We start from the raw sequence: 12,444 nt of genomic DNA, 5'->3' as shown, positions 1-12,444 counted from the left end.
CAGTTGGCAGTGGGAGGAAGGGTGGGCTGTACTCCTGTTGCAGCAGTGGCACAGCAAGGTTCACTGACACATGCACACTGTAGGGACAAAGAAAGCATAAACCACCTATGCACACACATGTCATCAAAGTGATGTGAAGGGTTGCCATGGGCCCAGGGGAAGCTGCAGTGTGGGAAGGGAGCAAGTGGGCTTGTGCATGGCTGTGGGGGCTGCTCCACTGGAGCCCTTCTCTGGTCCTCTGGTCAGGCACAGTCCACCAGTGCAGAAGCTATGACACGTGCTCCCAAGGCACTCGAGGCTGCCCTGCAAGAAGGCATGGTCAGGCTGGGGCCCCAGAGAGGACAGCAGACCAAAGGGTGCTCAGGTCAAACCTGCCCTGTCTGATGGGCAAGACCACCCAGCAGAGTTCAGGTCTGACATTTCGCCTAGGGCTAAAGGCTCCTATGGGAACAAGTTGAACCTTGGGGGATGGTTGCTCCTGGCCATGCTTCACTACAAATGCTCCTATGCCAATCCCTTTGGGCTCCACATTAGCTGGCTTGCTGCCCCACTACTTCTCTAAGCAGATTTCCCTGCCTACTAGAATGTCTGTCGTGGTCAAGGGGTTGCCTCCTGTGGGGATTCCAGAGGCCCATATGAGAGTGAGTTGCTCCTTGCCAGTTCAACTCACCCGTTCCCCCAGAGACACTGGAGACCAAGAATGAGTGCTGGTGCATGTAGCCACATGCAGGGTTCCCAGCTTCCTCCCACTTCAGCTCAGCTTGTGTGTCTTCCCTCTGTCCCCTCTCAGTGTCTTCCCTCTGAATATCTATCAGGAGGGTGCCAGTCATCTGGGTCCTTCAGTGGCAGCTGTTCCACCTAGCTGTGTCTAGTCATCCATCTTGCCTTCCTAATTGCATTATTTTTGTATTCACCAACTTTCTTATTTTTGACATATATAACCAATGTTACATACATTTATTTTTTAAAGTTGTTTAGACTTAAGCCATATTTTCAAGGGATTTACTTAAAAAGCAATTGGCTACTTAAATTCAAAAATAGTTTTTCTGTTCTTTTCAAAATTTTTATTTTTATTTAAATAGTTTTGGGGTACAGGTGGTTTTTGGTTACAAGAATAATTTATTTAGTGGTGATTTCTGAGATTTTGGTGCACACATCATCTGAGCAGTGCACACTGTGCCCAATGTGTAGTCTTTTATCCCTCACCCCTTTCCACCCTTTCCCAGAATCCCCAAAGTTCGTTATATCATTCTTATTCCTTTGCATCCTCATAGCTTAGATCCCAGTTGTAAGTAAGAACATATAATATTTGGTTCTCCATTCCAGAGTTATTTCATTTAGAATAATGGCCTTCAGCTCCCTCCAATTTGCTGCAAAAGACAGTATTTTATCAGTTTTTATGGCTGAGTAGCATTCCATGGTGTATATATACCACTTTTTTTATCCATTTGTGATTAATGGGCACTTATGTTGGTTGCATATCTTTGCAATTATGAATTGTGCTGCTATAAACATGTGTGTGCATGTGTCTTTTTCATATAATGACTTATTTCCCTTTGGTAGATACCCAGCAGTGGGATAGCTGGATCGAATGATAGCTCTATTTTTAGTTCTTTAAGGAATCTCCTTACTGTTCTTCATAGTGGTTGTGCTACTTTACATTCCAACCAGCAATGTAAAAGTGTTCCCTTTTCACCACATGCATGCTAACATCTATTTTTTGACTTTTTAATTATGGCCATTCTTGCAGGAGTGGGGTGATATCTCATTCTGGTTTGGATTCACATTTCACCAATAATTAGTGATGTTGAGTATTTTTTCATATGTTCATTGGCTGTTTGTACATCTTTTGAGAATTGTCTATTCATGTACTTTACCCACTTTTTGATTGAGTTATTTGTTTTTTCTTGCCAATTTGTTTGAGATCCCTGTAGATTCCGGATATTATTCCTTTGTCTTCCCCCTTGGGAAGTTTGTGGATATTTTATTGCATAGTTGTGGATTTACTGCATAGTTTATGGATATTTTATCCCATTCTGTGTGTTGTCTGTTTACTTGGCTGATTATTTCTTTTGCTGTTCGGAAGCTTTTTAGTTTAATGAGGTCACATTTATTTATTTTTGTTTTTGTTGCATTTGCTTTTGGAGTCATAGTCATTAATTCTTTGCCTAAGCCAATGTCTAGAAGAGTTTTTCCAGTGTTATCTTCTAGAATTTTTATGGTTTCATGTCTCAGATTTAAGTCTTTCATCCATCTTGAGTTGATTTTTTTATAGGGTGAGAGATAAGAGTCCAGTTTTATTCTTCTACATGTGGCTTTCTAGATTTCCCAACACCATTTATTAAATAGGGTGTCCTTTCCCTAACTTATATTTTTATAGGCTTTGTCAAAGATCAGTTGGCTGTAAGTATTTGGCTTTATTTTTAGGTTCTCTATTCTATTTCATTGGTCTACATGCCTATTTTTATGCCAGTATGATGCTGTTTTGGTAACTATAGCCTTATAGTATATGAGTTGAATACCTCAGCTTTAGTTTTCTGTTTGCTTTTGCTGGTTTTGACTCTGCATAGTGAGAGCTTTAGATGTAATAAAATAAGTAATGGCAAGAATAAGTGAGCTCAAGTTTACATTTTATTTCTAGCTCTGTGATCTTGGAAAAAGAATTTAACTTTGCTGTTTTATCAAGTAAAAGTAATTAGATTGGATGAGATAATCAATGATTAACAAAATTCCTATAAGTGGAATACTTTGACCTCTTCAGCTGTGTTGTGGACATTGTACTGTGCTCCTACATCCACCCCCAACCCCACATCTCTGCCACAAGTACTGCCGGCTGACATTCTCATTCAAAAATTGTTCTTACCAAAAAGAGTCTCTTCACATAAGGCCATATCCCTGCATCCAATTACTTCTAGATATAGAGATATAAGTACTCAGCCCCCACATCAAAGCCCAGAACAATTCTGAAGAGCCATCCCACTTTCAGAGCCCACGGTGAGATCAGCTGAGGCTCTGGTTCTCAGCAACTTTTGCTGCTCAATTTCTTCCTCTGCCCAATCCTGTTTCCTTCCTTTCTCTCAACAGATTTAATCCTGAGAAATCCTCTTAATAGAATTATAGCACAATATTCTTTGACTCAGAGACTGCTTTCCAAAGAACCCAGTGTTCAATCAGCTGGAAGTACTATTGTTATGGGATCCTTGGTGTGTTGCTTATCCAGCTGGAAGCTTCTGTGGCCAGTGACGCCTTTGTCTGAGTTTTGCCTGGGCCTGCTGGGCTCATTCTGCCCGCTCAGCCTGGAAGCTGTGCTCAGCTTGCATTGCTGGTCTGGATCCCATGCCTGCCAAGGGTGAGCCAGATGCAGAGCAGGTGTGTGAGCAAGTGAGTGTGGGGTCTGGCCACTGTGCACAGTCAGGCAAGCTAGCTGTGGCAAGGTGAGCAGCTCCAGGCACCAGCACAGGCACCGGCTCCCTGCAAGTCTGCGGCTAGACCAGGCATACCGCAAGCAGCTTCCAAAGTTGGCACGGAGGAATGCAGTGATGCCTGGAAGCTTGGAGATGCCAGGAACTGCAAAACCCCAAAGAGGGTGTCACAGCCCCGGCTTGGGGAACTGATAGGTCTGGGCTCCCCAAAATTCAGCAGCTCTTCTATCTCGCTCCTCTCCTACTTTTCACACACAATGTGGTGAGCAAGGGGCATGTTTCAGCCTTGTTTCTGTGACAGCTCTTTTAGCCACACCATTCGGTGGGTCTTGAGTTCTTGGCCTATATCCAGGAAGAATGAGGTACACGGACAAGTGGAAGGTAAGCAAGGCAAAGAGGAGCTTTATTGAGTGACAGAACAGCTCAGAGGAGACCTGCAGTGGGTAGCTCCTCTCCACAGGCAGGGTGTCCTGTCAAGTGTTCACTTTTCAGCAGAGAGGAAACCCTGCAGTGAGTAATTCCTCTCCACAGCTGGTCATCCATCAAATGTTCAGCTCTCAACACAGAAAGCACCCTGGGGTGGGTAGCTCCTCTCTGTAGCTGGTCATCTTGTCTTCTTTTCAGCTCTCAGCAGAGGGAAGACCATGGGCTGGGTAGCTCCTCTCCGTGGGCAGGTGGTCTAGTTGAGTGTTCAGCTCTCAGCAGAGAGGAAACCCTGGAGTGGGCCGCTACTCCCCAAAGCTGGTCACCCTGTTGTCTCCTTGAGTCTTGCTGAGCACACGGCTTTTTGGGCTTCAGAGGGGAGGAAGTGCATGCTGATTGGTCCATAGGTGGCCATGGGTGGGCACAGAAAAAGCACCATAATATCCCACTCTGGTCCACAGGACTGGCATCCCAGCCCCCAGTACGGCTTGAAGTTGGGGCTTCACTGGGGACCCGCGCCTTTCCCCCCTGGAACCTGTCTGCCTTCTGCTGCTGTTCATGGTGCCCAGGCTGTTCATGCTGAGGGGTGCCTGCAGGCCAGTGCCAAACTGCCCTCAGCACCCCCTTGGCCTCCCTCCCATGCTCTTTGGCATCCAAAGTCAGGAGGGGGCCATGCAGCAGGGTGCTGGTGTGTCAGCTCTGCCTCGAGCTGACATGCCCAGGCTCGGTCTCAACTTTGCTCCAAGATCAGAGTGGGTTCTGGGAGCTGAGAGGGGCCAGGCAGTGGGAGCAGGCATTTCTGAGCCTGTGGAGTGGGTTCCAGGAGCAAGGAGAGGCCAGGCAGTGAGAGCAGGCATTTTCAAGCCTGTGGGGGCAGGAGGGCCTTCCCTGGGCCCTCAAGAGTGCAGAAATGCCTGGGCCCACAGCCATGGCTTGAGTGGCAGCATCTGCACCCGGGAGGGTGGGGCTCCCACCTGCCCCCAGCCCCCAAGAGCATAGGGATGCCCAGTCTCACAGCTGCAGTTTGGGAGGCTGCAGCTGCACCCATGATGGTGGGGCTGCTGCCTGCTTTGTGGGGGCACAGCCCCAGCCATACCTCCCCACTGCAGCCCGTAACTTTGCAGCAGCCACTCCAGATGGGCTGCTGCTGCCATCACTATGTCCCTCCTCTTGGGATTTAATTTGATCCTCTGCCTTGATGGTGCTTGCATTCTATACCGTATTTTACTTATTGCATGTTTTCTTATGTATTTTTTGCATACTAATCTGCAACTTCTTGAAGGTAAGAAATTTTTAAAAAATCTTTCACATCAGCTGACAGTGATCCATTACTTACTGGGTTTGGTGAATGTATAAAGTGACATTGAAATAGTCATATTTTTTCCTGCTTGATCTTCATAGAATCAATAAACAGTTCATTTTTTGTAATTTTCACTCTTTACTACAGGAGCTGTGATTTCCCTATCTTCATGAAAGTTGAATTGTTTCTGTAATTTTTCTGTGGATTTGTGAGTTTTGTGGTTTATTTACAATAACATGATAGTTGGGGTATTATTGTTGGCAATGGAGATATTAAATACTGTGATCCCATAATGTTTTTTAATTGGTTTGCCAATAATCAGTTAGAAAGCTTTAATTCTGTTAGAACTAATAAAGAAAATGTGCTATATCAAAGACTTAAAGGCATATTTCTTTTCTTTCTATTGCATTGGTAAAGTCAGTTGGTGATTTTTATTATTTTTAGTATTCAATTTTCATTTTTAATTATATATGGTTGAAAGTGAAGTCCATTCAAATATTGCAAAGTAACACTAGTATTCTTAAAAGTGAAATCCATAGGTATAATCAGTTCCTATTCATTCAGAAGTCAAAGATAAGAATACTATATCATTTGTAATCACATAGACAATTTCATTCTTTGTATCAGCTTTAATTTCTAAAAAGTGTTTCATTTAGTAGAAGTTTTTAGAGCAACATTAGACCAATTGTAAACTACATAGCATTCATATTGTATTAGCCCCTTTCCAATGCCTTCCATTCTGTTTTCCAAATTATATTCCTGTAATTCCTGAATCTTTAAGCCTCAGTGATTTGAATTTCATGTGCAATCACAGATACCCTTTCAGTAAATCGTGTCATTATTTGGTATTTTTCTCATTCAAAGAAATGCTTTCATATTTTATGACCATTTGGACCATTCCATTTTCACATCATTGAAAGTCTTCACACATTTTCTTACAATATCATCTTGGAGTTTTAGCTTCAAATAAAAAATAGCAATCTCTATCTTGCCAACAATTAGTTGGGGAAACACCATAGATTATGATCACTTCTATGTTGCCACACCAGGAGTACCAGTGACAAGCCAAATATCACCTTGAAGCATCTGTTATCATCTGATGCATTTTTGTTGGCAAAGCCATCATCTATTTTGCCAACATCAAAATTATCTCAACCAGATTCTACATTAACGTCTACCACCACCTTAAGTAGTCCTAACACTCTTCCAGAGAATGTGATAACATTAAAAAGGCACAGTATATCCATTCTATGGATTTAGCTATATCTGTAAGAATTTTCCCAGGTGATATCCAGTACATCTTGAGTCAATAAAAAGGGAAGTATCAAAATAACATAGTCTGATTGTATTAAAAAACAAACTAAAAATGTGTATATGTATTTTGTCACAGGACAAAAGATAGAGGTCATACAAAATGCATTATCATTGGTTACCTTGGAACAGTGGCAGCGGGGTGGATACTTGGAGTAAGAAGAAACCATTATACTTCTCTTTAATTGTGGTTAGCTGTGTGGTTTTCATTATCAAAATGAGTGTGCAAGGATTATGTAGTTAAAATAAAGCAAAATATTTTAAATAGCACATAGTCAATGTTACCCTGTTTTAGCATCTGTTTGCTCATATTATCTGCATAAAATGAAACTACTTTTCTTCTCTTATACATTACAAATGGACTCCCCAGCTGAAGCATTTTTCCCTACCTATTATAATATCTCTTTTTCCATGTTTCTTCCTTGTTTAAAAATAATTATCACACTTAATCTCTTCATGAAACCTTATAATCATACCAATGACAACAATAACCTCTCACCACTTAAATGCATGACAGGGTGGACAAAAATCCAAGTAGGAAAGACCAAGTATCAAATTCATCAATTAAGGCCTTGCTTTCACCCTTTCTGTCAACTTAAATCATTTATTTGTTTCAACATTTTTTATTACATTCAGTAATGACTTTTAGTGAATGATAATCTGTTTGAATTCCACAAGAATGTTAGAATTTCACAATTTGCATTTCTATTAGTCAATAGTTTTACAAAATAATACCTGCTACCAATATATGATAGGTCTTACGTAAGCTCACAAGTGGCATTTCTTAATGACAGTACTTTAGCAGAAATTTAGATCAATTGATTACCTGCAGGTATTTTCTCAGAATACTTTAATGTTGACAAAGTGTCATATATGACTCATGTCTGCATCTCTGTAACCAATTTTTATGAGTCTTTTCCGTGTATGTGTGTGTGTGTGTGTGTGTGTGAGAGAGAGAGAGAGAGAGAGAATCTGTTTTATTGTGTCCTAATGATTGTATTGCAAGCTTCCAAACAGATATACATCAGATTTTCTACTGAATTTTATTTTAATACCCTATAGTATCTATTATGTCTTTACAACATTTGGTAGACCTACTCCATAAATTGAGTTATTAAAAGAGAATTAGGAGCATGGCATGGAGATGTCCTAAGGTAGTATGGGTGGAAGAGTGAAAATGTGTTTTGCATATTTTTACTACCAGGGTAAAAACTCAGAATGAAAGTTCTAATGCTGGAATTACTTTTTTAAGTCAAACTTATTTTTTTGCCTGAGTATAAACGTTAATCATGCTTTGTGTTTTGGTTATTTCTGGATATGTTAGATAGATGTTGAATATTTCAAACAATAAATTTTATTTATTTATCATATTATCTGCTATGACAAGCAAATTTCAGATAGTCACTGTCTGCTTAATTTATCATGGTAAAATATGATTTGTTCATGTCCTGAAATTGAACTTTTGGCTATTTTATGTGAACCTTTGGCAAATATGTCAGAATAAAACTATATCAAGAAGAAATAAAATTATCTTTTTCTGCCTTAACTTCAGGCTGGGACCAACCTTAGGTGGTCAGTTTGATTTTCACAGGAATGGTCTCGGAAAAACGTAGAAAAGGTCATACTGGATTTGTGGGGGGACGGACAGGGAGCCAAGATGGCTGATGATGCAGACAGGAAGAGCTTCTCCCACTGAGAGACCAGATCATCAAGGAGACAGGCATACTTCCAAACAGATGTTCACAAATAAGGCATTGAGAGTGGATAGAGGGAAGACACAGACCCAGGACTGAAAGAGGAGGAAGCTGGGAACCCTGCACGTGGTTGCCAAGCACCAAGACTTGTTCCTGGTCCCAACCAACTCTTGGGGAAGGGGTGAGTAAAATAGGCATGAATTGGCCCACTTTAACAATGGACTTCCAGAATCATAGCTACAGGAGACCCCAGAATCCCCAGGTACATTTGAGCTGACAGGGAGAACTGCATAAAAAAGCTGGCAAAGTCAGAACACCAGCTTGCATAGAGCCTAGAGGGTTGGAAGCAGTAAAGGCTGCAGTGAAGCACAGCCATGCGCAACTACCCCCTAAGGCTCAGATACCCACTTAAGTGACCATCTACCAAGGTTCAGATACTCCTCTACGTAACTTTAGAATTTGTTGGCTGACACACCCAGACAGAGCAGGAATATCTTGCCCAGGTGACAGGGCCTGAATTACATGAGTGAGTCCCTGTCTGCTGGCCTATCCCAACGTCCCTGCCTGCCTGCACCCACTTGCAGTGTGGCCTCTGCTGCACAGCACAGGAGCTGGTCAGCAGCCACCACCATGTCTCTTTTGCCAAGACCCAAAATAGCAGATGGAGAGCTATTGCAGGCAGGCTCCTGCCAGTGTGCACCTGCCCAGACCCCCTCCCCCACCAGAGTTCACTTGCCTACAGCCTCCCCTTACTGCTTCACTGGCAAATGCACATGTGTGGGACCGTCCACTGCCCTGCTGCTGCCCTGCCAAAGTGTTAATGCTGGCACCCCCTATCAAGAGTATTGTTGCAAGCAGACCAAAAACACCTTGGCCCCTCCAGGGCAGCAGGTGCTTAACCTCAAACAGTCACAGGAAAAAGCCATGGGCCTGGTCCCATGCCCTTAAAGTTAGTGAATACAGCCCAGGAGTGCTGAGCTGAACCTTGAACTCCTGAAATCATCCAGAAAGAAACCCAATTGACTAAGCTCATCTTATGCCACAGTAAAACCTTCAAGGGCATCAAAGAGGATAAAAGCAAACAAACAAACAAAAAGGATAGAAGCTTCAAACATTAAAGAAACATCAGCCAACACAGATGAGAAAGAACCAGTGCAAGAACTCTGGAAACTATCAGTCAGAGTGTCTTCTTACTTCCAAACAACTGCAATAGCTTTTTAGCAATGATTTGTAAGCTGACTGAAATGGCCAAAATAACAGACACACAATTCAGAATCTCGATGGCAATGACAATCGTCAGGATTCAGGAGAATGTTGAAACTGAATCCAAGGAATGTAAGGGATCCAGTCAAACAATTCAAGAGCTGAACAATAAAATAGTCATTTTAAGAAAAAACTAAACTGAGCTGTTAGAGCTCAAAAACTCACTACAATAATTTCATAATACAATCAGAAGTATATCAGAATATACCAAGTGGAATAAAGAATCTCAGAGCTTGAAGATGACTTTTTCAAATCAAATTCATCAAATAAATTAGGGGAAAAAATTGTTTAAACCTTCAAGAAATATTAGATTATGTAAGGAGAGGAAACCTATAACGCACTGGTATCCCAGAAAGACAGTGAGAGAAGGGAAGCAACTTGAAAAATATATTTCAGGATACTGTCCACATAAATATCCCCAAACTTGCTAGAGGGGTCAACCTGCAAATTAGGAAAATTTAAAGAATAACTGTAAGATACTGTACAAGATGATCATACCCAAGGCACACAGTCATCAAATTCCCCAAAGTTATTGTTGAGGAAAAAAATATTAAAGGCAGCTAGAGAGAAGGGGCAAGCCATGTACAAAGGGAGCTACATCTGACTAACATAATACATTCAGCAGAAACCTTATAGGTCAGAAGAGATGGAGGCTCATATTCAGCATCCTAAAATAAAAATAAAAAAATTCAAACAAAGAATTTCATATCAAGTCAAACTGAGCTTCATAAGTGAAGAAAAATTATTCTTATTAGGCAGGAAAACGTTAAGTGAATTAATTACCACAGCCTTCAAAGATGTCTTTAAAGGAGTGATAAACAAGGAAACAAAAGACTGTTACCTGCCACGACACAAAAAAACTTGCATACGTAGCCCACTGATGCTATAAAGTAACTATTCAATCAATTCTACTTAACAACCAGCTAACAACATGATAAAAGGATCAATTCCTCACATATCAATATTAACCTTGAACTTAAACAGGCTAAAAGCCACACAGAGTGACAAGTTAGATGAAGAGCAAGACCCAACTGTTTGCTGTCTTCAAGAGACACATCTCACATGCAATGACATCCATAGGCTCAAAGTAAGTGGATGGAGAAAGATCTATCAAGCAAACGGAAAACAAAACACATCAGAGGTTACTCTTCTTATTCCAGGCAAAACAGACTTTAAAGCAACACCATTCAAAAAGGACAAAGAAGACCATTACATAATGATAAAGACTTAAATTCAACACGAAGTCTTAACTATCTTAAATATATATGCACCCAACACTGCAGGACCCAAAGAATCACTTAAAAAAGTTCTTAGAGACCTATGAAAAGACTCAGACAATCACGCAATAATAGTGAGAGACTTCAACACCCCACTGACAATGTTCAGCAGATCATCGAGGCAGAAAACTAACAAAGATATTTGGGACCCAAACTTGACACTTGACAAAATTTACCTAACAGAGATCTATAGAAAGTTCTATTCTGCAACTAGAGAATATACATTTATCTCATCTTCATATGGCACATAATCTAGAATTGACCCCACAATTAACCATAAAGCAATTCTCAACACATTTAAAAAAAAAACCAAAAGTATACCAAGCACACTCTCAGAGAACAGTGCAAAAAAACACAACTCAATACCAAAAAACGATCTCAAAGCCATACAAATGCATGGAAATTAACCTAATTTTGAGTGACTTTTGATGAAGCAATGAATTAAGGCCGAAATCAAGAAATTCTTTGAAACTAATGAGAACAAAGATAAAACATAACAAAACATCTGAGACACAGCTAAGGCAGTGTTAAGAGGAAAGTTTATAGTGCTAACCACTAACATCAAAAAATCGGAAGAACTAAAATTAACAACCTAACATCATGCACATGGGAACTAGAAAAATCAGAGCAAATCAAAACCAAACCTAGGAGAAGAGAAGAAATAACCAAAATCAGAGCTGAACTGAACAAAAATGAGGCAAAAGAAACCCATACAAAAGATCAATTAAGCCAAAAGTTTGTTGTTTGAAAGAATAAATAAGATTGACAAACCACAGGCTAGACTAATAAAGAAAAAAATAAGATTCAATAAGCACAAGCAGAAATGGCAAAGATGATATTACCATAATCCCCACAGAAATAAAAACACCCACAGAGACTATTATGAAACACCTCTATGCAAGCAAACTAGAAAACCTAGAAAAAAAATGGATGAATCCAGAAACATAAAACTGCCCAAGATTGAATCAGGAAGAAATTATATCCCTGAACAGGCCAATAACAAGTTCTAAAATGAAATCAGTAATATAAAATCATACCAACCAGTAAAAGACTGGGACCAGATGGATTTACAAACAAATTCTACCAGAGGTATAAAGGGAGAGCTGGTTCCAATACTATTGAAACTATTTCAAAAAATTGAAGCCTCATTCTATGTAGCCAGCATCATTCTGATACCAAAATCTGGCAGAGACACATGAAAAAGGAAAACTTCAGACCAGTATTCTTAAGGAATTTAGATGCAAAAAATTCTCAAAAAAAATACTAGCAAATTGAATTCAGCAGCATATCGAAAAGCTAATCTACCACAATCAAGTAGGCTTTATCCCTGGGATGCAAGGATGGTTCAACAAACACAAATCAACACATGTGATTCATCACATAAACAGAACTAAAAATGAAAACTACATGATCATCTCAATAGATACAGAAAAGACTTTCAACAAAATTCAACATACCTGCATGTTAAAAACCCTCCTCAAACTAGACATTGAAGGACTATACCTCAAAATAATAAAAGTCATAAATATAAAATGCACAACCACCTACTGTATGGGCAAAGGCTGGAAGCATTCCACTTAAGGACCATTAAAATACAAGGATGCCAACTCTCACCACTTCTACGCAACATAGTGTTGGATATCCCAGCCAGAGCAAACACATAAGAGAAATAAATAAAAGATATCCAAATAGGAAGAGAGGAAGTAAGATTATATCTTTACAGATGATATGATTCTATACCTAGAAATCCCCAT

This window comes from Homo sapiens, chromosome X, assembly GCF_000001405.40.
Source record: "Homo sapiens chromosome X, GRCh38.p14 Primary Assembly".
Classification (NCBI taxonomy): domain Eukaryota; kingdom Metazoa; phylum Chordata; class Mammalia; order Primates; family Hominidae; genus Homo; species Homo sapiens.
Note: the sequence above shows the minus strand (reverse complement) of the source record.